Below are 27,763 nucleotides of genomic sequence, written 5' to 3' on the forward strand. Positions count from 1 at the left end.
AGTTCGAGACCAGTCTGGGCAACATAGTGAGACCCCATTTCCAAAAAAAAAAAATTAGCCAGGTGCAGTGGTGCACACCTGTGGTCCCAGCTACTCAGGATGCTGAGGCAAAAGGATGGTTTTTGCCGGAGTTCAAGGCTGCAGTGATCTATGACTGGGCCACTGCACTCCAGCCTGAGAAACAGAGTAAGACCCTATCTCAAAAAAAAAAAAAAAAAAAAAGGAAAACACGCCCATGGGTCCTTGACCTGCTGCCCTCCTCACCTGCTTCTCCCCAAAGACTGTGGGGACTTCCAGGGAGGAGATGGGCTAGGGAGAGCAGGTCCCACCTCCATTATCTGGACAGGTGAGGCCTGGGTATTTCCAATTGCCTCATTTTGAGCAAGAGTTTTGATCTGTGGCCTCCTGCCAAGATTTTGCCATTCTTTCCTGACAAACTACACGGCTGTTTTGTAACCGGCATTATAAAATGGTTTTATTAATTATTAATAACTATTTAATGTGTACACAGTTATCCATGAAGAAATAGGAAATACCAGTGAGTTGTTACCAGCGTTGCCCCAGGCTGGGAGAGCCCTTCCAGCTTTCCTTTGGCCTCTGACACCCCTGCCCCACTGACCGCCCACCCCCCATTCCTGTCTGGAAGGCTCGCCTGCCATCATCCCGCACATCCGACAGCTCTCCCTTCAGGGTCACCTCCTCCTTGGACAAAGCATACGTGACCCCTTGTCAGGTTTCTTGGCTGGGTGCTCCCCCAGAGTTTGGCTCCTGCCCCCAACCAAGCATGCATGGTGACAATGCACCCACTTGATAACTGATCACTGGTGTCACTTCCACCTCCCTCCCTCCATGAGCGCAAACCTCCGGTTAATACAGTTGGGTCAGCCCAGGGTCCTCGGTGTCCCCAGAGTCTGCCATGCCTGGTGCTGGGCAGATACTCAATAAACACCCAAAATCAGGCCGGGCTCAGTGGCTCACACCTGTGACCTCAGCACTTTGGGAAGCTGAGGCAGGGAGGATGGCTTGAGCCTAGAAGTTCAAGACCAGCCTGGGCAACATAGCAAGACCCCTGTCTCTACTTTTTTTTCTTTTTTTTTTTGAGACGGAATCTCGCTCTGTCGCCCAGGCTGGAGTGCAGTGGCGTGATCTCGCCTCACTGCAAGCTCCGCCTCCAGATTCACGTCATTCTCCTGCCTCAGCCCCTCGAGTAGCTGGGACTACAGGTGCCCGCCATCACGCCCAGCTAATTTTTTGTATTTTTAGTAGAGACAGGGTTTCACCGTGTTAGCCAGGATGGTCTCCATCTCCTGATCTCGTGATCTGCCCGCCTCGGCCTCCCAAAGTGCTGGGATTACAGGCGTGAGCCACCGCGCCCGGCCTGTCTCTACTTTTAAAAAATTAAATTAAATTAAATTAATATCAATGAGTGAATAAATGAAGAAACAAACTTTGGGCAAGCCACTGCCCCTCTCTGGGTGACTTTTTTTTTTCAGTTTTGTAAAAAAGTGACAGTGTTAAAAATTAGACATGGAGGCCAGGCATGGTGGCTCATACCTGTAATCCCAGCACTTTGGGAGGCTGAGCCAGGCAGATCACTTGAGGTCAGGGGTTTGAGATCAGCCTGGCCAACATGGTGAAACCCCATCTCTACTAAAAATACAAAAATCAGCCAGGTGTGGTGGTGCATGTCTGTAGTCCCAGCTACTCGGGAGGCTGAGGTGGGAGAATCGCTTGAACCTGGGAGGTGAATGTTGTAGTGAGCTGAGATCGCGCCACTGTACTCCAGTCTAGGCAACAGAGACTCTATCTCAGAAAAGAAAAGAAAAAAAATAATTGGAAATGGGTTGCTGAGGACATGTGCCCCTGCTCCCTGCTGAGCTCCCAGTGTGCCCCTCCCCTCCTGAATTGGTAGGAGATTCTGCTCTCACCTCTGCAGGCGATCACTGCTCACTGCAATTCAGTCACTAGTGCCTGCACCTGACCCCATTTTTGTTTGCCACCCCCGCAGCCAGCCCGTATTTGTGATCACGGCCCTGTGATCAGAGTCTCAGGAAACACTTGTGCATGGGGCAGAGCAATCCTTGCTGCCTGCAAGGAAACCAGACAAGGCTGTGCTGATGGAAAATCGGCTGTAGTTACATGGGCAAGAATCAGAGTTCAAGTCTAGGAACCCCTGGTTTTTAGGCAGAGGACATCAAGGCAGAGGATGTCAAAGCTGAAGTGAGGCATTACAATCCCCCATCATGACAACCGGTGGGCCTTGTGAAATTTAGCACAGGTCCTCCCGGCTCCAGTTGGCCACAGCCTGCCATGGAAGCCCAAGTGCCTCTGGGCACTCCAAATATCACTGCATCTGGGAAAGCAGCAGACAGCGTGGCCATGCAGTGCAACAGGGTAGTGGGGATGCCTGTCACATCTCCGATGCAGAGGCAGCCCCTGGACATGGGGATGTCCTGTGACTCTTGCCCGACAGCCCAGGCCATCTCCTTGGAGCCAGCGCAGCCATTTTTTTTTTTTTTTTTTTTTTTGCCAATCTGCTCAAACACCCAGTTGGAACAGGAATGCCTCGTGGCACTGGCTTTAGGAGTTTAATCTAGATGGTTTGCTGTTTCTAGCAGCAGAGCACCTGTTCAGACTCTACGTATATGCACCCATGAATGGTGCAGCTGCCAAGAGAACCAAAGCTAAATGTTGGCAGGATCACAGCAGGTGTGGAGGGGAGGTCACTGGGAATTCCCTGGAGACTCAGTCGTTACCCACTCAACTGGAAGGCTGAGCATGGCTTTTTCCTCTGATGGTTACCCATGCCAGGCCCCACCTCTCCATGTCCAATGTTCTTTCTTTATTTGTTTGTTTGTTTGTTTGTTTGTTTAGAGACGGAGTCTGGCTCTGTTGCCCAGGCTGGAGTGCAGTGGCACGATCTCAGCTCACTACAACCTCCGCCTCCTGGGTACAAGCGATTCTCCTGCCTCAGCCTCCTGAGTAGCTGGGATTACAGGTGCACGCCACCATGCCCGGCTAATTTTTGTATTTTTAGTAGAGACAGGGTTTCACCATGTTGCCCAGGCTGGTCCCGAACTCCTGATCTCAGGTGATCTGCCCAACTCAGCCTCCCAAACTGCTGGGATTATAGGCGTGAGCCACCACGCCCAGTCCATTTCCAATTTTCCATCCAGTGGTGGCAGAACAAACTTGGATGGGCCCCAGTGCTCTGCTGGAACCAGGACCCTCACCCAGCTGCCTCCAGCTGGGCCTGCCCACCCCTGCTGACCTCCTACATGCAGAGAACAGGGCTTCTCTGCTCTTCAGGCCTGAAGCTGTGATGTCCACAGGACCTAGGAACCACGCACACCCCCTGAAGCTGGAACACCAGGCATGGGTGAGTCCTGGGTGGCTGGATCTTGTCAAGATGGGTGAAAGGGCAGCTTCTGCAAGCAGGACCCATCCTCAGTGGACTGGATCATCTTCAGCGTTCTCATTCTCAGCCGCATTCTCTGGGAACAGGGAAAGAGGTTCCTGTCTGAATCTTCAGCATGGGCTATGCACTGGTGGCCCCTTCCTGCTTGGCCACTGTGCCAGGTGAGCCTACAATGAGATGAAATGGTGACGTGGGACAAGTGGCTCTCTGCAGCCACCTCCAGCACCACCCTGCCTGGGAAGGCAGGGGTCAGAGGGGTGGGTGTGAAGGGGTTGGAGTGCACAGGTAGAGGTGGCTGGGGTCTTCACTGTGTTGGGGAGGGTCTCATCGCCTTGAGACTCTGCAGCGTCTCCTCAGAGGCCTTGTCGGGAAGCAGCACCTCCACAGTGTAGCTGAGCTTCTTGGCATGCATCCGGCTGTAGGTGTTGTCGAAGCGCAGGACATCTGCAGTGATGGAGAGGTGATCAGGGAGCACAAACCCCGCACATCTGCAGGAAGAGCCAGCCCTGCATGGGTGCATCCCTGGAACCCTTGGGAATGAGCTGCATCCCTGGAACGTCCTGCATCCCTGGAACCCTTGGAAATGAGCTGTCCAGGACAGTGGGTGGGGCCTGAGGGCCAGCCTGTGCCCAGCCCTAAGCCCATTGCTCGCTGCCATCTCCATGGTGGCTTGCGCTACATGAAGGAATCATGATGGTCATCAGCATATAGAACAGCACACAGCCAGGGAGCAGGCGGCCTGGGAACGGGATCTCGAGCTCCACCTGCAGGGAGGAGCTGTGGCCCACGGACACAGTATGCTCGTACTGCGTCCTCGCCTAGTTGCGGTTGCACAGGTAGCTCTTGGGCCTCTCCATGAACCATGGATTCCATCACACATTATAGCCCCTGAATCCTCAAAGCAGCCCCATGTGGAAGGCAATGTCATCCTCATTTTACAGAGGAGAAAACTGAGGCTTGGAGAGGTGATATGATCTTTCAGCGGTCACAGAGCAAGGGAGGGGAGGTACTGGGATTCCTTTATCCAGATGTCCCAACCCAGGGAGGAGCCCTGCTACCCCAGGAGGAATGGGCTGGGCTACATAAGCCGCTTTCCGTCTCACAGAAGGCATGTCCTTCAATGCCAAGGTCCAACATGAACTCAGGTGTGATGAGTCGTGCAGACTTGTCTGTCTCTACTCTCCTAATGCTCCCTTTCCACAAAATGAAATAAGGTAATGTGTTGACTTAAGCATAAGCCACACCCTTCTCCTCCATAGGAAATCAACCTTGGGTTCCCCTTCTCCTAGCTCTGTTCCCAATAGATGTGGAAGGGCAGTGGTGTCCCTGAGCAATGCTACTTCTGGTAAAGCTGACTGAGCTGCATCTGGCCTGGAAGGCCTGGGGGTGAATGATAAGCACCTGGAGGAAGTCACCTCTTTGGGACTCCTGGAGTGGGGTGGTTCATGCAACTGGGTGGTCCCCTTGCCAAGACCCCTGACTCTAAGTCCATGGCCTCTTACTTACCTGTCTCTTAGTCCAGTGATCCCGGTATAGGGGCTTCTTAGGAGCTGAGCCCAAGGCCCTAGGTTCTGAATACCAGCTCTTCCCCCACAATGAATCTCTGCCCTCATACCTACAGGTAGGGGCCACTCATCTGATCCATGGCCCCAAAGCTGGCTCCCCTGGAGCTTACAGAGATCCCCCCACCCTCCCGAGAGCTGGAAAGAGAGGGCAAGCAGAGGGGAGACTGGCAGGGAAAACAATTCCAGTAAACCCCGCAGCTCTTACAGACGCCAGCCTGGAGGCAGGTGAGGCTCCCATCCTCAGGCACCATGTGGGCATTGTAGCGCTGGCTGGGCAGCACCTCCGTCATCTCCCTAGCACTCTGCTGCTCCCCCATCTTGGTCTTCAGGAAAACCCCAAAGCCGATGTCCCCACCATCTGAAGCAAACTGCCACCTGCAGTGGATAGAGCCCCATTGGCGACCCCCTGCCTGGGCTCCAGGCCCCTCCCAGATGTGCCCAGGTGTAGAGTGGCTGCCATCCCTACCTGAGCACACAGCCCGGGAACAGGATCTCGTTCTCCACCTGCAGGGAGGAGCCGCGGCCCACGGACCTCGTGTGCTCATACTGCAGCCTCACCTGCTCGCACAGGTAGTAGCTCTTGGGCACCTCACCCCCATAGTTGATCTGTGGGTGAAGGGGGTGTGTGGGCACTAGATCACAGCTTCTCCCCTCCTTCCCCATCCTCTGGGCACCCTGTACCTTGGTCAGGCACTTGGGGTTGCCATCGGGGTCAGTCATGGTCCCCCCAAACTCCACAGGCAGCTGGTCGGGGCTGATGAATTTTGTCAGCTCCTGCTTCCAGTTGTCTGCATGGGAGCAAGAGAGGGACTCCAAAGGGACTCAGGAGACTCAACAGAGGGCAGAGGGGGCTGAGCTTGGTGAGGGAACCTGATATGTCCTGGGCGTGCTCCCCCGGGCACCTACTCCTAAGAGTACCCAAGACCTTTATGTGGCTCCCAGCCCACGGTCTAGGACCCAAGGCATTGCCCGTGCGTGTGGAGGCTCACCAGGGTCAGGCCAGGGGTAGTGCCCGAGTAGAGGACGAGCCAGGGAGAAGCAGGGTCTTTAGCATTGACCTCTGCTTCCCAGGCAGATGGACACAACCAGGGGGCCACGTCGCTCACCTCCCAGAATCACAATCTTCCTGCGTGTCTCCTCACTCATGAACGACTTGACCAAGTTGAAGGCCACGGGGAACAGTTTTGGGGCTGAAACACATGTAAATCTCTTGAGAAGCTGGACCAGAAAGGACGTGGGGATACAGAGCCACAGCCAAGAGCAGGTGCTGGACAGGAGGTGGACAGATATGGATTCTGCCACTCTCTGCTGTGTGACCTTCAGCAAGTTACCCACCCTCTCCAAGTCTTAGTGCAGTTAACTGGAAAATGAAGGTGAAATAATGTATGTATAACACCTGGCACAGTTCCTGGCTTTCAATAAATGGTTGTCTCAGGCCAGGCGCAGTGGCTCATGCCTGAAATCCCAGCACTTTGGGAGGCTGAGGTAGGCAGATCACTTGAAGCCAGCAGTTCAAGACCAGCCTGGCCAACATGGTGAAACTCCGTCTCTACTAAAAATACAAAAATTAGCTGAGCGTAGTGGTGCATGCTTGTAATCCCGGCTACTCGGGTGGCAGCGGCACAAGAATTGCTTGAACCTGGGAGGCAGAGGTTGCAGTGAGCCAAGATCACGCCACTGCACTCCAGCCTGGGTGAGAGAGTGAGATTCCATCTCAAAAAAAAAAAAAAAAAAGAAAAGAAAAAAGAAAAAGAAAAATGGCTGTCTCCCCAACCCAGTTGTAAGGGATTGGGCACAAGCTGGCTCTAGGGTCAGCAATATTGATTCCCCAACAGTATCACTTCTTTTCCACACTCCAGGTTGTCTGGAATCTTCTTGGGTGTGACATCTACATGAGACTTCCTGTCCTGCCCTGAATTGCTCACACTCAACTGAGCACTGTCTGTGGGCCAAGCTCTGTGCTCCATCTTCTCCACACACTGTTTCATTTAACCTCATAGTTATCTTTGAGGAGGGGGCTATTGTATCCCCATCTTACATAATGGGAAAACTGAGGCTCAGTGAGGTTAAGTAGACTTGGATAAAATCATAGAGCTAGTTAGATTTGAACCAGATCCTCTGACTCTGGAACACATGACATCACCAGGGCAGCCAGGGACCATTCCCGCTCAAAGTGTGTCCATCCACTAGTGTGGTCCATGGACTATCTGTTCCCAGCCCACACTGACATAAGTAAGTAACAGTAAACATTTAGAAACTTATAACTTGACATTGCTGAAACATACCAGTGCATGATTTTGTATATTACAAAAATATCAGTCTGTGAAGGACTGAAACTAAAAAATAAAGCCAGAGGCCGGGTGCGGTGGCTCACATCTATAATCCCAGCACTGTGGGAGGCCGAAGTGGCTGGATGACTTGAGATCAGGAGTTCAAAACCAGCCTGGCCAACATAGGGAAACCCCATCTCTACTAAAAATACAAAAATTAGCCAGGCATGGTGGCGTGCACCTGTAATCCCAGCTACTAGGAAGGCTGAGGCAGGAGAATTGCTTGAACCCAGGAGGCGGAGGTTGCAGTGAGCCAATATCATGCCACTGCACTCCGGCCTGGGTGACAGAGGGAGACTCCATCTCAATAACTAACTAACCAGAAACCAACCACACAAAACCTGGTTCTTCACAAAGGATGGGTGAAGAAGCCTTTAACTCCATGGCTTACCTACTGTACCCCCAATTCCTGCTTCTCCCTCCCCAGGAGGTCATCCCGGTCATGGGCTTACCTCGAATAACAATTAAATTCTTCAGGGTCTCAGGATAATTTGCTTCCAGGATGCTAAAAAACTGTGGAGTCAAGATGAGTCTGGTTGGGGCTCTGTTCCATCACCTCCCGCCCATGGGTTTCTGTGGCCTCTGATGCTGCTGAGACAAGAGGCCCATCCCTGGCCCATCCTACCTTCCCCACAAGCATGTGCCTCTTCCTCTCTGTTATTCTTTTTTTGTTTGTTGATTTGTTCTCGAGACAGGGTCTCACTCTGTCTCCCAAGGTGGAGTATAGTGGCACAATCACAGGTCACTGCGACCTTGAATTCCTGGGTTCAAGAGATCCTCCCGCCTCAGCCACCCAAGTATCTAGGACTACAGGCACGTGCCACTGCACTGGGCTAATGTAAAAATTATTATTATTGTTGGTAGAGATGACATCTCACTGTGTTGCTCAGGCTGATCCTGAACTCCTGCTCAAGGAATCTTCCCACCTTGGCTTCCCAAAGTGCTGGGATGACAGGCGTGAGCCACCACGCCTGGCCTCTTTGTGTTAATCTTGCTCCCCTTTCTCCGTGGAGGGTGGTCTCTAGGCCAGCATCATTGGCTGGTCTGTGGAGCCCCTGCAAGGCATCCCCACCCCTCTATCTCACTGGATTCTCACATCAATTCACAGCTAGGGCTCACAGCTGGGAGCCACTGCCCACACCAGCCCCAAGCCAGCCACCCACCTTACCTGCTGGTAGACCTCCACAGCTGGCTTCCACAGGTGTTTCAGGCTCAGCCCCTCCATGTCAAACACCATCAGCGCCATCTCGATCTTCCTGCCCAGCTGCTTGGGACAGAGTCATATAGGTCAGACGACAGCTCCAGCCAGGAGATCCTGGCCAGAGAGACTTGGGCACCTCTCCCCACCTTCCTGCCATCCCACCCTCTGGCAGCCCACAGCGTTTTCCAGACAGATGGACAACACCTCACTTTTACGGGTGGGTAAGGGTGGGAGAAGCCCACATTCCACCAGAGCCCTGGGTGCTGAGGGCTGGGGAGGGGCAGGGTGCCACCCTTCTCTGGTCCTGGTGCCACCCTGTAGACAGATGAGGCCCAGCCCCACCCCCGCTGCTCACCTTCTGAGTTTGCAGCTCACACTCATGCAACAGCAGCTCACAGACTTTGATGCGCTTCCGGATCATATCCTGCTTGGAGGCTGACAGCAGGAGACCCTTGGGGTCGAGGGACCCAATGATGTTGAAGTACACAGGGCAGCCTTCGTAGTCGTAGCCACAAAGACCACCCGAGTCATACAGCTGGATGACCTGGAAGTGTGGGTAAGGTCCCGACTCAATCCAGCTCACCAGGCTGGGTCCCTACTCCATCAGGTGGCTGGACGTGGTAGGTGGGAGATGTCAGGGGTGAGGGGCCTCAGATGGCCTGGGGGATGCTGCTCGAGGCTCACCTCAGGGGGCTGCCATGTGACAATGTTGTCCAGGTCTTGTTGCTTCCGGAACTCCATGTGCTGCAGGAACACAGCAGGAGCTATAGGATTTTGCAGGAACCTGGGGACACCAGGCTAGGTCCCTCTGCCCACAGCCACCAAGATCCCACCACAGCATACCCAGGCTCTCAGAGCGTGGGGACAGGAGGTGGGCTGGGGGGACTTGGGTCTGATGCAGAAAGAGATCGGGGGAGGAAGAAAGAAGAAACAGGAGAATGGGACAGGGCCAGAGTCTCTACCCTTTTGCAGCAAATCCCTGGGTCACAGTGCATGGAAGGCAGGGCAGTAGGGATCACAGATCCTTACCCTTCGGAGCATGTCTTCGGATTTCTGCAGGTCAAAGTTTCGAGCTGCAAGAAGAGGAGGTAAATAGAAGCTCAAGGCTAGATCCAGAAAGAGCCCTTCCCTAAAAACTCATGAGGAAACAGCTAAGGTGTCCCCAGCCTTTTCCTGACACCCCAATAATACATTGAACATCTAGAAATGGTTGTTTGTTTGTTTGTGTGTTTATTTTTTGAGACAGAGTCTTGGTTCTGTTGCCCAGGCCAGAGTGCAGTGATGTGATCATAGCTTACTGTGGCCTCTGGCCCAGGTGATCCTCCTACCCCAGCCTCCTGAGTAGCTGAGACTACAGGGCCACACCACCATGCCTGGCTAATTTTTTTTAGATTTTTTTTTTTTGGTAGAGATAGGGATCTTGCTATGTTGCCCAGGCTGGTCTTGAACTCCTGGCCTCAAGCAGTCCTCCCACCTCAGCTTCCCAAAGTGTTGGAATTACAGGCGCGAGCCTCTGTGCCTGACCTAGAAATGTTTTTTAACAAGTTAAGGATCTTTAATCCTCTAGAAGACTGGAGAGCCCTTGATTTCAGTTTCCAGTCTTCCTACAACCTTCTGGAGGCCAATCTAGCCTGTATTTGATGTCCCTCAGGAAGCAGAGACACCCCCCCCCACCACCTGCACAGTGTTAGGGTTGGTGGGGAGCATGGGGTTTGGATTCACAGAGACTGGGGCTTAAAGTCTAGTGTTGCCCTTTTATTTCCTGTGAAACCTTGAGCAAGTCACTTACCTTCTCTGAGCCTTAGTTTTTTAATCAGTTAAATGAGAACACTATCTGTTTCAGTTATTCAAAGAACAACATGAGATAATGTATAGAAAGTGTTTGGCCCAATACCTGGCTCACAGTAGGTTCTCAATAAACAGTAGCTATCATGATTACCTATTTTGAAGAAATAGACACACTTTAATTGAAAACATGATGCTGTATTTTAGAAATGCTTTGACTGTTGCTCTCTGAGACCCCTGGCTCACTGAGGAATTTGTCCACTCCCAGAGCTGAAACAATATGCGGGGTCAGAGATTTTCAAATGGAAGGGATCTCAGATGCTATCCAGGCCTCCTCTGCTCTGATCATGAAACAGTTCCAGAAATCACTCCCGGCCAGGCGTGGTGGCTCACGCCTGTAATTCCAGCACTTTGGGAGACCAAGGCGGGCAGATCACTTGAGGTCAGGAGTTCAAGACCAGCCTGGGCAATATGGTGAAACCCCGTCTCTACTAAAAATACAAAAATCAGCTGGGCATGGCGGCAGGTGCCTGTAATCCCAGCTACTCAGGAGGCTGAGGCAGGAGAATTGCTTGAACCCAGGAGGCAGAGGTTGCAGTGAGCCGAGATCGCATCATTGCACTCCAGCCTGGGGGACAACAGCAAGACTTCATCTCAAACAACAACAACAACAACAACAACAAACACAAAACTTAGCTAGGCGTGGTGGTGCACACCTGTAGTCCCAGCTACTCGGGAGGCTGAGGCACAAGAATCACTTGAACCCAGGAGAAGGAAGCTGCAGTAAGCCAAGATCGCACTACTGCACTCCAGCCTGGGTGACTGAGTGAGACCCTGTCTGAAAAAAAAAAAAAAAGAAAGAACCCCCAATGCAACAGCTCAGCCTTGATTATCTCCCATGATGGAGAGTTCATTACCACAGAAGACATTACCATTCCATTCCTCAGCAGCTTTGACTGAACCCAAATCTGACCTGTGATGATTCCAGCCCCATCATCAGAGGTCAAACAAATACATGTTATCTCTTGTCAATGTGGCAATTCTGCAAATATTTGAAGACAAGCCACCAAGTTCACCTATGCGATCTTTGCTCTGGGCTATATATTTATTAAAATCATCTTCTGTGTCAATTCTGTCAAAGAGAACGTTCTGTGATGATGGAAATGTCCTATACCTGAGCTGCTCATTATGGTAGCCGCTAGCTGCCTGAGGCTACGGAGCAATAGAAACGTGGCAAGTGTGATTGAGGACCTGGAGTTTTAATTTAATTTAATCGTTACAGTTATATGTGGCTACAGGTGATCAAACTGAACAGGGCAGTTCTATATACTTCAGAGATTTTAAGATTTTTGCTGTACAGGTCTTGTGTGTTCTAGGTTAAACTCCTGGGTATTTTATGGGCTTTGTTGCTGTTTTGAATGGTATCTGACTTTTCATTATCTTTTTTTTTTTTTTTTTTTTTTTGAGACAGAGTCTTACTCTGTCACCCAGGCTGGAGTGCAGATCTCAGCTCACTGCAACCTCCACCTCCCAGGTCCAGGCAATTCTCATGCCTCAGCCTCCTGAGTAGCTGGGACTACAGGCATGCACCGCCATGCCTGGCTAATTTTTGTATTTTTATTAGCCAGGTTGGTCTTGAACTCCTAACTTCAAGCGATCTGCCTGCCTTGGCCTCCCAAAGTGCTGGGATTACAGGTGTGAGCCACCATGCCCTGCCCGCTACTGATTTTTATATCTGGCAATATTGCTGAATTTTCTCTTGAGTTCTAGAGGTTTTCTGTTGATCCAGTTGGTTTTCAAGGGAGACAAGCAATTTCTCTGCAAATATTTTAACTCTTTCCTTCTAGTCTTTCTACCAATTGATATTTTTTCTTTCCATGTAACATTGGCAAAGGTCTCCAGTTCTACATTTAAACAGTAATGTTGATTGATTGATTCTTTCCTTGTTCCTGATCTTAAAGAAAATGCATCTAAAATCCTCTAATAAGTGTTAACATTTGTCAGAGGATTTTTGCTACGTAACCATTACCAAGTCAAGGAAACTCCTTTCTATCCCTAGATTGGTAAGACTTTCATTTTGTCTTATAAGTAGGATTTGAACCTTTTCAAATGCTCTATCTGCATTAATTGAGATAGCCACATAATTTCTCATTTCTAGCACTCATTAATGTTTTCAATGACACCGATAGATATTCTGTTGTTGAACTATTCTTGCACACCTAAGATAAACTTCCCTTGGTCACGCTGCATAATTATTATTATTATTATTATTTTTTTGATGGAGTCTCGCTCTGTCGCCCAGGCTGGAGTGCAGTGGCGCGATCTCGGCTCACTGCAAGCTCCGCCTCCCGGGTTCACGCCATTCTCCTGCCTCAGCCTCCTGAGTAGCTGAGACTACAGGCACCCGCCACCACGCCCAGCTAATTTTTTTTTGTATTTTTACTAGAGACGGGGTTTCACCATGTTAGCCAGGATGGTCTTGATCTCCTGAGCCACCGCGCCCGGCCAGTCATGCTGCATAATTTTAATGCCTTATTGGATTCTACTACATAATATTGATTTAGACTACTATTTTTTTTTTAACTGATGGGGTTTCACCATGTTGGCCAGGCTGGTCTGGAACTCCTGACCTCAGGTGATCCGCCTGCTTCGGCCTCCCAAAGTGCTGGGATTACAGGTGTGAGCCACCGCACCTGGCCTGATTTAGACTTCTTTATATCTACATTCATAAGTAAAATAGGCTGAGAATTTTCTTTTTTAAAAAATTGTATTAGCTGGGCGCAGTGGCTCCTGCCTGTAATCCCAGCACTTTCGGAGGCCAAGGCAGGCAGATCACTTGAGGTCAGGAGTTCGAGACCAGCTTGGCCAACATGGTGAAACCCTGTCTCTACTAAAAATACAAAAAATTAGCTGAGTGTGGTGGCTCATGCCTGTAATCCCAGCTAGTCAGGAGGCTGAGGCACGAGAATCACTTGAACCTGGGAGGTGGAGGTTGCAGTGAGCCAAACTTGTACCACTGCACTCCATCCTTGGCAATGAAGCAAGATTCTGTCTCAAAAAAATGATAATAATAAAATGAAATAAAAAATTGTACTGATCTAGCTTTGAAATCAAACTTACTCAAACCTTATAAGGTAACTTTCACTCTCTCATAGGTTCTTAAAGAATTCGTATGAGCTAGAAATTAACTGTTTTTTTTTTTTTGAGACAGAGTCTCTCTCTGTTTCCCAGCCTGGAGTGTGATGGTACAATCTTGGCTCACTGCAACGTCTGCCTCCTGGGTTCAAGCGATTCTCCTGCCTCAGCCTCCCAAGTAGCCAGGATTGCAGTTGCCCACCACCATGCCTGGCTAATTTTTGTATTTTTAGTAGACACAGGGTTTCTCCATGTTGGTCAGGCTTTTCTCGAACTCCCGACCTCAGGTGATCCGCCCACCTCGGCCTCCCAAAGTGCTGGGATTACAGACATGAGCCACCGCGCCCGGCCAACTGGTATTAAAACTCTGGCGGAATTCATCTGTAGAACCACTGGAGTCTGAGTTTTGGGGGAGGGGAAGTTTTTGCTGCCATTTCAATTTCTCTAATATTTATTGGTCTGATGACGTTTTCTATTTCTTCTTGCTGGATTTTGGTCTTATATATTATTTTCTAGAAATGTGTCTTCCTTCACTTGGATTTTCAAATTTATTAGTGCATATTTGTTCATAATCTTCTCTTATAGGCTTAAAAAAGATTCAGTTTATAGGTGATTTTCTGTTGTGTTGTTTGTTTGCTTTTTGAGACAAGCCATCCTCCTACCTCAGCCTCCCGAATAGCTGGAACTACAAGCATGCACCAACACACCCGGCTTATTTTTGAATTTTTTGTAGAGATATGGTTTCGTCATGTTGCCCAGGCTGGTCTTGAACTCCTGGGTCAAGCAATCCTCCTGCCTCAGCCTCCCAAAGTGCCAGGATTACAGGAGTGAGCCACTGTGCCCAGCTATAGGAGATTTTTCAGTTAGGAACCAGAATGTGGTTTCTTATCCTATAAACAGTGGTTTGGGCAATGCTCATGGGATATGAGAACAGAATTTTTTTTTTTTTTTTTTTTTTTTTTTTTAGTAACACCTACTATGCGCCAGGCTGAGGGGACCAGGGCAGGCACATCCCTGCCCTGATGGAACTGGCATCAGATGAAACTAATGGAACCGACAGACAGATGTGGGATGAAGTTAAGGAAAAACAGAGGGGGTCAGGCAGAGTGGCTCATACCTGTAATCCCCGCACTTTGAGAGGCCGAGGCGGGAGGATCATTTTGGGTCCAGGAGTTCGAGACCAGCCTGGGCAATGTAGTGAGACCCTGTGACCCTGTGTCTACAAAAAATAAAAATAAAAATAAATAAAAACAAAGGAAAAGAACTTCAGAAGGAGGGTTGGGAAAAGCCCCTCAGCATGAGGCCCGGGAGAGGGTCCTCTACCAAGCTCAGCCTCAGCAGTAGCCCTCCCCTTTGCCTGGGTCTTGGGTTAGTGAGGCCGGGACTAGCGGAGCTGACGCTGAAGTGGACGACGGGGCCATGCCAGCAGGTCCCATCACCCATGGCATGAGGTGGGAGGCATCAGGACACCCAGCCCCCTTCCCAATCTTGGATCCTTTTTCTTTCCTATGACCTGGAAGCCTAGGTATCTGCAATCTCACTCCTTTATCAAGGGCACACCAAGCACCCCAAAAGCTGGGTTTTAAACCCAAAAAGATACTAAAGGAAGAGAGAGAGCTGATGCTGTATCAAGGGGCTTCAAGAAATCAACTGTCCCAACTCCTTCTTTGGTCCAGGCTGGGGGCAATGACATATTTCCTTGTCAAAAACAAATAGAAAGTGCCACAGCCAAGGGGGCTTAAGGAGGGCAAGATGACTAAATATAATGTGGGATCCTGGATGGGATCCTGGAAGAGAAAAATGAAGGAAATCCAAATAATATACGGACTGTAGTTAATAATAATGTATCCATATTGGTTTATTAATTCTAACAAATGTACCATCATCATCATAAGAAGAAGATGTTAATAATAAGGAAAACTAGGTGCAGAGTATGTGGGAACTTTTTGCACTATATTTGCAATTTTCTGAAAATCTAAAACTATTCTAAAAATTAAAGTTTTTATATATATATACACACACACGCACATATATATATATATATATATATATATATACATACACATACTTTTTTTTTTAAGACAGAGTCTTGCTTTGTTGTGCAGTGGCATGATCTCCGCTCACTGCAACCTCCGCCTCCTGGGTTCAAGTGATTCTCGTGCCTCAGCCTCCTGAGTAGCTGGAACTACAGGCACGTGCCACCACACCCAGCTAATTTTTGTATTTTTGTAGAAATGGGGTTTCACTATGTTGGCCAGGCTGGTCTCGAACTCCTGGCCTCAAGTGATCTGCCCGCCTCGGCCTCCCAAAGTGCTGGGATTACAAGCGTGAACCACAGGGCCTGGCCAAAATATTGAAAAAAAACAAAAAAACAAAAACAGACAGAACAAATCAGAGGAAGAATTAGTCCCTGGTAGGGACTTCCTTTTCTCAGGTACTGTGTGCATCTGCGACCTCATTTGACTCACAGCGCCCTGAAGGTAGGGACCAGTATTATGCCCATTACACAGAAGAGGAAAGTGAGGTTGGGACAATGACTGGCTTGCCACAGGCACATGCTAGCACTGGAACTCAGTCACAGCTCTGCCCAATTCCAAAGCCAGCGTTTTAAACCCTGCACTGTATGTATGCTTTCCGGGCTGACTCCTGACTTCTCACTCATCTCAAGTTCAAAATCCATTCCATGAGGTGTAATGAGTTAAGATGAATTTTTCCCTAAGCTCTGGGGCAGTGTCTGTTATTATTATTTTGAGATGGGGTTTCACTCTGTCGCCTAGGCTGGAGTGCAGTGGTACAATCTCAGCTCACTGCATCCTCCACCTCCCAGGCTCAAGTGATCCTCTCACCTCAGCCTCCTGAGTAGCTGGGATTACAGGTGCTCGGCAGCTCACCCGGCTAATTTTTGTATTTTTTGTAGAGATGAGGTTTCGCCATGTTGCCCAGGCTGGTCTTGAACTCCTGAGCTCAAGAAATCTGCCTGCCTCAGCCTCCCAAAGCACTGGGACTATAAGTGTGAGCCATCGCATCTGGCTTGTTATTATTTTTTTAGACTGCTGCTGTAATTCCTAGAAGAAACTGCTTCTCTAGCATTCGCTAAATCCACTTCCTTAAGTGTTTGCTGGGCACCTGCTCAGTGCACTAGGGCACCTCGGTTCCTTTAGGGGACAACAGAGCCCTGTCCTCGGGGAACTGGAGGTACACCCAAAGGCAAGTACTGAAAACAGTGCTCTGCAACATCTGCCCCAAGGGCTGGCCAGGCCAGAGGCCTGAGGATGTCCTGGCTGTTAACTGTAACCTCACCTGGACTCTGTGCCCACCTGTTGCCTCATCCTTGCTTGACAGATGAAGAAACTGAGGCTCAGTGGGGTTTTGTGCTGTGCTCATACACAGGGGAGCTCAGATTCTAGTCAGAGCAGGCTGATTCCAGACCCTGTGTTTTTTGTTTTTTTGTTTTTTTTTTTTTGAGACGGAGCTTCACTCTTGATGCCCAGGCTGGAGTGCAATGGCGGGATCTCGGCTTACCGCAACCTCTGCCTCCCGGGTTCAAGCGATTCTCCTGCCTCAGCCTCCTGAGTAGCTGAGATTACAGGCATGTGCCACCAAGCCAGCTAATTTTGTATTTTTAGTAGAGACAGGGTTTCCCCATGTTGGTCAGGCTGGTCTCGAACTCCCGACCTCAGGTGATCTGCCTGCCTCGGCCTCCCAAAGTGCTGGGATTACAGGTGTGAGCCACCGGGCCCGGCAAGCCTGTGTTCTTTACTACCCTACAGCTCCATTCCCTCAAAGTCTCCCACTCCTCTCCTGAGACCCTCCTTCCTTCCCTCCCTTTCTGCGTCCCCTGACCCCTGCAAGCCTCACCTCGCAGCCAGCGCAGGAGGAAGTAGTCATCAGCATTGGGCAGTATGGGCAGCAGGTCCTGGAGGTTCTCCCGGAACTGAGCGGAGGAGGATCTGATGGTCGGCGGAGCTCTCATGACCTCGGGGGCCACCAACCCCGCCCCTAACCCTTCCCACATCATCCACCAGTCAACTCCACCAGAAGACCATGCAGGGTGCTGCCCTGAACGACTTTGCCATCTGAAAATAGGGCACCCTCCAGCCCAACATAGGAAAAAGAGTTGGGTCCTTCCCAAAATTTGGGAGTGCCCTACACACTGGACTCCCATTCTACATGTCTAAGGTGGGGCCCTGGCATCCTTATTTTTAATTTTTATTTTATTATTATTTTTATATTATTATTATTATTATTATTATTATTGAAACAGGATCTCACTCTATCGCCCAAGCTGGAGCGTAGTTGCGTGATCTTGGCTCACTGCAACCCGTGCCTCCCGGGTTCAATAGATCCTCCCAGCTCAGACTCCCAAGTAGCTGGGACCACAGGCACACAAGATGCCCAGCTAATTTTTGTACTTTTTGTAGAGATGGGATCTTGCTATGTTGCCCAGGCTGGTCTCAAACTCCTTGGCTCAAACAATCCACCCGCCTTAGTATCCCAAAGTGCTGGGATCACAGGCGTGAGCCACCATGCCCGACTGACAGCCTTATTTCTACAAGGATCCCTGGGAGAGTCTGATGCAGGCCAGCTAGGCGGTTTTAGGAATGTTGTCCCTGATACTGCATCTTGAGGGTTTAGATTTAGAGGCAAGTTACCAAACCTCTCTAAGCCTCAGTTTCCTTATCTCTGAAATGGGGATAAAAATAAACTTGTACCAATCAAAGGAGTCTGTGCACGTAAAACACTTAGCAGGCTTGGCTCCGAGCAGGTGTCAGATATATGTGAGCACTCAGCCAGCGTGGACTGCCTGATGCCCCGGACAATGGAGGCTTTGTGGAAAAAAAACAGAGGCAGAGGTCAACAGACAGGGGCTGAAAGAGAAGCCAGGAATGCCTTATCAGGGCATCTGTTGCGTCTGAGAGAGAGGAGATCTCACTTCCCTGGGGACCAACAGAGCTGAAGGCAAAGGCTGGGTTTGAAGGTGAATCTGTGAATCCAAATTTGGGATTAGAAATATGAGGCCGGGCGCAGTGGCTCACACCTGTAATCCCAGCACTTTGGGAGGCCAAGGCGGATGGATCACAAGGTCAGGAGTTCGAGACCAGCCTGTCCAAGAGACCTGCCTGGCCAATATGGTGAAACCCCGTCTCTACTAAAAATACAAAAATTAGTCGGGTGTGGTGGCGGGCACCTGTAGCCCCAGCTACTTGGGAGGCTGAGGCAGGAGAATCGCTTGAACTCAGGAGGTGGAGGTTGCAGTGAACCGAGATTGCGCCATTACACTCCAGCCTGGACGACAGAGCAAGACTCCATCTCAAAAAAAAAAAAAAAAAAGATTACAGAGAAGCTTGGGCCCTAAGAACAAATCACAAAGAGAAGCCAAACAAACAAATGTTGCAACCTGGACATGAAAAGCAGTCTGTCTACCCAAGGCTGCCCCCGCAGCCGGATGGCAGCGCCACTCCCTCCCCCACAACCGGGGAACAAGGACCAGGGCCGGGTGGTGGAGAGCACGCAAGGTCAGAAGACTGGATTCGGCTCCTGGTCACGCAGAGATGGGCCCCTGTCCCGCGTGCTGCACGTAGCCGCCTCAACAACCGCACGCTGGACCAGAGGGCAGAACAGAGGCGCTCTCTCCAGGCTCGGTGTTCCAGTCTGTACCATGGGGGCTCCAGCCGGGTTGGGCAGTGCCAGGCTGCTCAGGGCCCCTCCTCAAGCCTCCCAGCCCGCGATGCTCCTCACCCTGGCCAGCGCTTCCTGCTGCTGGGGGCTCAGGTCCCCGACTCGGCTGCTCATGGTGCCCGCGGGCGCAGAAAGGCTCAGGGCGCAGGTCCGCCCGCCCGCCGCCGCCTGGCCTTGTATCCGCTGCCGCCTGGTTGTGCCTCCTGGGCCAGATGTTGGTCCCGCCCCGACGGGAGAGGCACTGGGCCTGCCCCGCCCCGCCCAGTTCTCTCCTCCTCTCCAGGATTTTTTGCTGCGGTCACCAAGCGCACCCTACTTGGGACAGGGAGGTGACCTGCCGGGAGAGTGGCCTGGGGCAGCTGGAGGCAGCCACCTCCAGGCCTCCTTACTGCGGGGGCTCCCGCCTGTTCGCAGGTGGCAGGAAAGGGAATACACTGAGATCCTCTTTCCAGCAAAATGGAGGAAATTTTTTTTTAAATGTTTTTTTTTTTTTGGGCCAGGCGCGGTGGCTCACGCCTGTAATCCCAGCACTTTGGGAGGCCGAGGCGGGCGGATCACGAGGTCAGGAGGAGATCGAGACCATCCTGGCTAACATGGTGAAAACCCGTCTCTACTGAAAATACAAAAAATTAGCTGGGCGTGGTGGCGGGCGCCTGTAGTCCCAGCTACTCGGGAGGCTGAGGCAGGAGAATGGCGTGAACCCGGGAAGCGGAGCTTGCAGTGAGCCGAGATCGCGCCACTGCACTCCAGCCTGGGTGACAGAGTGAGACTCCGTCTCAAAAAAAAAAAAAATTTTTTTTTTCTTTTTCTTATTTTGAATAAAATAGAGACCGGGTTTTGCTATGCTGACCAGGCTGGTCTGGACCTCCTGGCCTCAAGCAATCCTCCAACCTCCGCCACCCAAAGTGCTGGGATTAGGGATGTGAACCACCATACCTGGCCAACATGGAGGAATTTTTAATAAACCTGGCTCAACCCTCTAGGACCCCCAGGGCTTTTGTCTAATGACCCCCAAGCTCCTTCCCCTGACCTTGAACACAGCCTGGGACCTGTCAGTGCTCACTGACTGATAGGACAGCCTCATGTGCAAAATGGTTCCTGCCCTCAAGATGGTTGGAAGGATAAGAGGACGCACCCTGGGTCAGCAGAATGTCTGGCGTTGCCTGCTCAGTAAGTGCTGGCTGGTAGGAATATATTTCAGAATTGTGTTATTACTGAGGCTGTCACCAGAGCTGGGAGCTGCAGGGGTGGAGATCCTAGGGTGTCCCAAGTGCGGAGCTCCTGGGTGAGAGCCACAGTCTGAAGGTGGAGGCATGCAAGGTGCCAGCCGTGGACCAATGGAAGCCCTGGGCAGAGTGACAGAGTGGGCGGAGAGCCAAAAGGCCACTCTGGCTGACACAAGAGAGCCAGGCGGAGATCACTAGGAAAAGCAAGAAAAAAGTTCAGCCAGGCGCGGTGGCTCATGCTTGCAATCCTGGCACCTGGCACTTTGGGAGGCCAAGGCAGGCGGATCACTTGAGGTCAGGAGTTTGAGACCATCCTGGCCAACATGGTGAAACCCTGTCTCTACTAAAAATACAAAAATTAGCTGGGTGTGGTCGTCCACGCCTGTAGTTCCAGCTACTCAGGAGGCTGAGGCACAAGAATTGCTTGAACCTGGGAGGTTGAGGGTGCAATGAGCCAAGATGGCACCACTGCATTCCAGCCTGGGCGACAGAGCCAGATTCTGTCTCAAAAAAAGAAAACAGAAGTTGGCTGGGTGTGAATTTTCAAGAGAGGAGTAGAGGGGACGTGAAGATGAAGGAGAGAGTAAAACAGGCCACAAGACCCTGTTCCCTCTGTCCTCCCATGGAATCAAACCAAGCTCTAGTCCCGAAAGGACTAACCCAGTGGCCGTGAGCCACAGAGGCTTTTGAGCCCAGACAACGTGGCTTGTCATAACAAGCATAGAGACATGCTGTAATTGTAAAATACAAACCAAGTTTTGATGGCTTAGTACCAGAAAAAGTAAAATGTTTCATTAACTAATTTTATTTATTTATGTACTGAGACAGCATCTCACTCTGTCACCCAGGTTGGAGTGCAGTGGTGCAATCATGGCTCACTGCAGCCTTGACCTCACGGGCTCAAGTGATCCTCCCACCTCAGCCTCCTGAGTAGCTGGGACTACATTCTCACCCCACCACACCCGGCTAATTTATTTTTATTTTTATTTTTATTTTTTTATAGACACAGGGTTTTGCTATGTTAGCCAGGCTGGTCTCAAACTCCTGAGCTCAAGCCATCCATCTGCTTCAGCCTCCCAAATTGCTGGTATTACAAGCGTGTGCCACTGCTCCTAGCCTCATTAATTAATTTTATATAAATGATTATATATTAAGTGATATTTTTGAATATAATAGGACAATAAAATATGTTATTAATATTACTTTCACCTGTTTCTTTTGATGTTTTAATAATTTTGAATTATTTATAATGATAATTTTTTTTCTTTTTTTAAGACAGGGTCTCAATGTGTCACCCAGGCTGGAGTGCAGTGGCAAAATCTCCGCTCACTGCAAGCTCCACCGCCCCCCACCCCTGAAGCTCAAGCAGTGCTCCCACCTCAGCCTCCCCAGTAGCAGGGACTGCAGATGTGCATCTCCACATCCGGCTAATTTTTGTATTTTTTTGAAGAAAAATACAAAACATGGTTTTGCCATGCTGCCTAGGCTGGTCTCAAACTCCCGAGCTCAAGCGATCCTCCCGCCTCAGCCTCCCAAAGTCCTGGGATTATAGGCATGAGCCACAGTGCCCAGCTAAATTGTTATTTTTTAGGACAGTTTTAAGTTCACATCAAAACTGGGCAGAAAGTACAGAGTTCCCACATATCTGCTGTCCCCATACACACACAACCTCTGGTTCCAGAGATATCCATTTGCTGAAATTGATGAGCCTACACTGACACGCTAATATCACCCAAAGTTCCTAGTTTACATTAGGGCTCATTCTTGGTGTTGGATATTCTATGGGTTTTGACAAATGTATAATGACATGTGTCCACCATTGTGGTATCACGCAGAATAGTTTCACTGCCCTAAAAATCCTCTGTGCTCCTACCTATCCTTTTTACTTAAAAAAAAAAAAAATGTAGCCACTGGGGCTGGGCGTGGTGGCTCACGTCTGTAATCCCAGCACTTTGGGAGGCTAAGGCGGGTGGATCACCTGAGGTCAGGAGTTTGAGACCAGCCTGGCCAACACGGCGAAACCCTGTCTCTACTAAAACTACAAAGATTACCTGGGCATGGTGGTGCACGTCTGTAATCCCAGCTACTCGGGAGGCTGAGGTAGGAGAATCACTGAACCCGGGAGGCGGAGGTTCCGGTGATCTGAGATTGCGCCATCACATTCTAGCCTGGGAGACAGAGCAAGACTCCATCTCAAAAAAAAAAAAGTAGCCACTGGAAAGATTTAAAATTACACGTATGGGCTGGGCATGGTGGCTCACACCTGTAATCCCAGCACTTTGAGAGGCTGAGGTGGGCGGATCGCTTGAGCCCAGCAGTTTGAGACCAGCCTGGGTAACATAGTAAAACCCCGTCTCTACTAAAAACACAAAAATTTGCCAGGCATGATGCTGTGCGCATGTAATCCCAGCTACTCAGGAGGCTGAGACAGGAGAATCACTTGAACCCAGGAGGCAGAGACGGGGGTTGCAGTGAGCTGAGATCATGCCACTGCACTCCAGCCTGGGTGACAGAGTGAGATTCGGTCTCAAAAAATAATAATAATAATAAATAAAATAAAATTACATTTATGGATCACATTTATGACTTGCATTATATTTAATTTGAACATTGTTTGCCCTATAGAGATTTAAAATATGTTTTTAGAAAAAGAAAGTAAATCATAAAAAATGCTAAAAGAAAGTAAAAGTGACACCACATCTCTGGAAGGGCATGGTCTGTGTTTAAAAACAATGACAGAATCACAAAGGGAAAATGAATTGATTTGACTACAAAATACAAAAATCTATTAAACAAGAAACAGAATTAAGACATTTATCAGAGTCGGGCGCTGTGGCTCACGCTTGTAATCCCAAACTTTGGGAGACTGAGGCGGGCGGATCAGGAGATCAGGAGTTCAAGACCAGCCTGGCCAACACAGTGAAACCCCGTCTCTACGAAAAATACAAAAATCAGCTGCGCATGGTGGTAGGTGCCTATAATCCCAGCTACTCGGGAGGCTGAGACAGGAGAATCACTTGAACCTGGGAGGCAGAGGTTGCAGTGAGCTGAGATCATGCCACTGCACTCCAGCCTGGACGACAGAGCTAGACTCCATCTCAAAAAAAAAAAAAAAAAGACATTTGTCAGTATTTGCTGATGGAAATTTGGGAAAAATAAAATGTACAAAAATTCAAGTTGATAAGAAAAATAGGAAGGCCCTAAGAAATAAATGGGCAAAGGATTCAAAGCACCAATTCTTAGGAATGAAAATGCTCAGGGTGTATTTATCAAGTGGATGAATGCCCAATCTCCAGAGTCATCAATGAAATGTGTATTCAAGTAATGAGATGCATTTTTCTCTGAAAAATCAGCAAAAACAAACAACACACACACACAGACACACACACACCTTTTAAGAAAAAACTACAAAATTAGCTGGGTGTGGTGGGGTGAGACTGTAGTCCCAGCTACTCAGATAATAGGCCAGGCACAGTGGCTAACACTTGTGATCCCAGTACTTTGGGAAGATCTCTTGAAGCCAAGAGTTCGAGACCAGTCCAGGCAACATAGTGGGACCTCGTCTCTACAAAAAATTAAAAAACTAGCCAGGCGTGGTGGCATGCTCCTGTAGTCCCAGCTACTTGGGAGGCTGAGGAGGGAGGATCACTTGAGCCCAGAAGGTGGAGGCTGCAGTGAGCTATGATTGTGACACTGCACTCCAGTCTGAGTGACAGAGGGAGACCCTGTCACAAAAAGAAAGAAAATAATAAAGTCAGTTAGAAGTTGGTGAAATGGAGACATTAATACATTGATGGCAGGAATATAAACGAATTCAGCTTTTCTGGAAAACCACTTGACCATACACTTCAGAATCCTGAAATATTTTCCCACTTTGCCCAGTGATAATCCTAACAAAAAATATTTTAAGCTTAAAGTTGTTTGTGTGTTGTTAACAGGAAGATTGGAGACAATTTTAAAGTAAGCTATGGTGCTTAATGTAGTTGATGGAAGGGTTTATAACAACAGTTTGGGAAAGACAGGACCACATAATGCATGCTTTATGCTTCTGGAACATAAAACAAAAACTACTCAGTAAAAGAAAAACTGGATAAGAAAAGAAATTTGGGGCTGGGCCCAGTGGCTCATGCTTGTAATCCCAACACTTTGGGAGGCTGAGGTAGGTGGATTGCTTGAGCCCAGGTGTTGGAAAACAGCCTGGGCAACAAAATGAGACCCCGTCTCTGCAGAAAATCAAAAAATTAGCCAGGTGTGGTGGCACGCACCAGTGGTCCCAGCTACACCAGAGGCTGAGGCAGGAGGATTGCCTGAGCCAGGGAGATCGAGGCTAAAGTGAGCCATGTTTATGCCACTGAACTCCGGCTTTGGCAACAGAGAGGAGATCTTTTCTCAAAAAAAAAAAAAAAAATCTGTTTTAAATAAATTTGCCCCAACTTTTCCCAGTTTCTGAGGAGTGGGAAAAGCCATATTTTGAAATACCAGAGGTAACAAATCACCTCCCAAGAGAAGCTTTTATTTAACTATCACTTACAGGTACTTTCTACTTACCAGGCTGGCTCTAAGGGTTTGTAAATATTATGATAGCTCAGGGCTGTCCAGTGGAAAAATAATACAAGCCACACGGATAACTTTCAATCCTCCAGAGCTGTGTAAAAACTCATTCTAAGCGCCGCACGTGGTGGCTCATGCCTGTAATCCCAACACTCTGGGGGGCCGAGGCAGGCGGATCACAAGGTCAGGGGATCGATCTTGGCCAATATGGTGAAAAATTAGCCGGGCGTGGTAGCACACGCCTGTAGTCCCAGCTACTCTGGAGGCTGAGGCAAGCGAATCACTTGAACCCAGGAGGCAGAGGTTGCAGTGAACCAAGATCGTGCCACTGCACTCCAGCCTGGGTGACAAGAGCAAAACTCCGTCTCAAAAAAAAAAAAATTTATTCTAAGCAGACAGCGGTGGCTTGCACTTGTAATCTCAGTTGCTTGGGAGGCTAAGGTGGGAGGATCACTTGAGGCCAGGAGTTTAAGACCAGCCTAGGCAACAAAGCAAGACCTTGTCTCTAAAAAAACATTTAAAAAAAATTAGCCAGAAAAAATATTCCGGGCATGGTGACATGAACCTGTGGTCCTAGCTACCTGGGAGGCTAAGGCAAGAGGATTGCTTGAGCCCAAGAGTTTAAGTTCGCAGTGAGCTATGATCAGACCGAGAGGTGAAGCCAGCTGAATTTCTGGGTCAGGTAGGGACTTGGAGAACTGTTCTGTCCTATAAGAGGATTGTAAAATGCACCAATCAGCACTCTGTGGCTTGCTAGAGGTTTGTAAAATATGCCAATCAGTGCTCTGTAAAAACGCACCAATCAGCGCTCTGTGGCTAGCTAGAGGTTTGTAAAATGGACCAATCAACGCTCTGTAAAATGGACCAATTGGCACTCAGTAAAATGGACCAATCAGCAGGATGTGGGCGGGGACAAACAAGGGAATAAAAGATGGCCACCCCCTCCCACCCTATCCACACCACCCGCCAGCCAGCAGCGGGAACTTGCTTGGGTCTCCTTCCACAGTGCAGTATCTTTGTTCTTTTGCTCTTCACAGTAAATGTTGCTGCTGCTCACTCTTTGGGTCTCTGCCACTTTTAAGAGCTGTAACACTCACCGTGAAGGTCCACAGCTTCATTCTTGAAGTTAGCCAGACCACGAACCCACTGGAAGGAACAAACTCTGGACACAAGACCACTGCATGCCAGCCTCAGCAGCAGAGAGATCCCATCTGAAAACAAAAACATTATTTTAATAACATATCTGGCTGGGTGCAGTGGCTCACGCCTGTAATCCCAGCACTTTGGGAAGCCAAGGCAGGGGGATTATCTGAAGTCAGGAGCTCAAGACCAGCCTGGCCAACATGGTGAAACCCAGTCTCTACAAAAATACAAAAATTAGTTGGGCATGATAGTGGGTACCTATAATCCCAGCTACTTGGGAGGCTGAGGCAGGAGAATTTCTTCAATCCGGGAAGCAGAGGTTGCAGTGAGCTGAGATCACACCATTACACTCCAGTCTGGGCAACAGAGAGACACTTCGTCTCAAAACAAAACAAAAAATAATACATCCAAAATATCATTTTAATGTGATAAATATGGCCGGGCGCGGTGGCTCACGCCTGTAATCCCAGCACTTTGGGAGGCCGAGGCGGGTGGATCACGAGGTCAGGAGATCGAGACCATCCCGGCTAAAACGGTGAAACCCCGTCTCTACTAAAAATACAAAAAATTAGCCGGGCGTAGTGGCGGGCGCCTGTAGTCCCAGCTACTTGGGAGGCTGAGGCAGGAGAATGGCGTGAACCCGGGAGGCGGAGCTTGCAGTGAGCCGAGATCCCGCCACTGCACTCCAGCCTGGGCGACAGAGCGAGACTCCGTCTCAAAAAAAAAAAAAAAAAAAAAATGTGATAAATATGATTAACAAATTAGATAAGTTAATTACCTCAATAATTAATAGTGAGATATGTTGCATTAATTTTTGTACTAAATCTTTAAAATGCTGTGCGTATTTAATACAGCACATTTTCATTGTAACTAGCTATATTTTGAGTGCATATTCAATAAGCCACATATATCCCCTACCAAATTCATGTTGAAGTCCTAGTCCCTGGTACTTTAGAACGTGACCTTACTTGGAAACAGGTCATTGCAGATGTAATTAGCGGTCGTATGGGAGTAGAGTGGGCCTCTAGTCCAGTATGTCCTTATAAATGGTGCCATTTGGATGCACATGGGGAGACACGCACATAGGGAGAACATCATGTGAAGATGAAAACAGATTGTGGAGTGATGCATCTATAATACAAGTCAAGGGGCGCCAAAGATTACTGGCCAACCATCAGAAGCTAGAGGAGAGGTGGTAAACGGAGTCTTCCTCACAATCCTTAGCAGGAACCAACCCTGCTGACACCTTGATCTTGGACTTCCAGCCTCCAGAATTCTGAGAATAAAATTCTGTTGTTCAGGCTGCTCAGTGTGGGGCACTGTGTTACATACAGCAGTCCTAGGGCACTAATAGGATGAGTGGTTGCCATATAGGATAGTGCAGCGTTAGTGCATTTAATCCTCCTCACTGTGCTGTGCAGTCGGGCTGGGAAACTGAAGCTCGAAGAGCCTCCTGAGTCTCATATCCAGCAAGCAGCAATGCCAGGACCGGAGCCCTGGCACTTGTCACTATGCCATGTCCTTCTGCGGGCTGAGCTCCCCTGGTTTTAGGTCACCCTCATGTCCCCCTCTATTCAATACAGGGCAGACATCCTCCCCTGAGCCTGCAGCACAAAGATGCTTCCTTCAAACCTCAGCTGTTGCCGGGCATGGAGAACTTTAGTTCTAACCATCTGGGCGCCAGTGCTTTGGGGGGCAGATAACGCCTCTCTTACGTGGTGTGCCCTTCT

General features: G+C 49.4%; 1 protein-coding gene across 2 annotated transcripts, besides 1 other annotated feature; it reads right to left on the reverse strand.

The window, feature by feature from the left end:
- Positions 1 to 2,517: 2,517 nt before the first annotated feature.
- SEC14L4 (SEC14 like lipid binding 4) lies at positions 2,518 to 19,311 on the reverse strand. Of its 2 annotated transcripts, none has more exons than NM_174977.4 (12): positions 19,174 to 19,311; positions 17,293 to 17,368; positions 9,544 to 9,587; positions 9,199 to 9,258; positions 8,870 to 9,058; positions 8,482 to 8,577; positions 7,766 to 7,826; positions 6,090 to 6,173; positions 5,665 to 5,771; positions 5,450 to 5,589; positions 5,189 to 5,358; positions 2,518 to 3,862 (listed from the first exon to the last, which is right to left on the reverse strand). In NM_174977.4, exons 1-12 carry the CDS (start codon positions 19,225 to 19,227, stop codon positions 3,723 to 3,725), a joined length of 1,221 nt encoding a protein of 406 aa, NP_777637.1. In that variant the 5' UTR covers positions 19,228 to 19,311; the 3' UTR covers positions 2,518 to 3,722. The 2 variants fall into 2 exon arrangements, with proteins under 2 accessions (NP_777637.1, NP_001154840.1); NM_001161368.3 differs by having other exon boundaries at positions 2,575 to 3,494.
- Positions 19,078 to 19,372: a silencer, noted in NCBI's record as "tiled region #10283; K562 Repressive non-DNase unmatched - State 7:EnhWF". NCBI's record gives its function as "represses a minimal TATA promoter and a strong SV40 promoter by Sharpr-MPRA in K562 cells {active_cell/tissue: K562}" and the evidence as "EXISTENCE:reporter gene assay evidence [ECO:0000049][PMID:27701403]".

This window comes from Homo sapiens, chromosome 22, assembly GCF_000001405.40.
Source record: "Homo sapiens chromosome 22, GRCh38.p14 Primary Assembly".
Taxonomy (NCBI): Eukaryota; Metazoa; Chordata; class Mammalia; order Primates; family Hominidae; genus Homo; species Homo sapiens.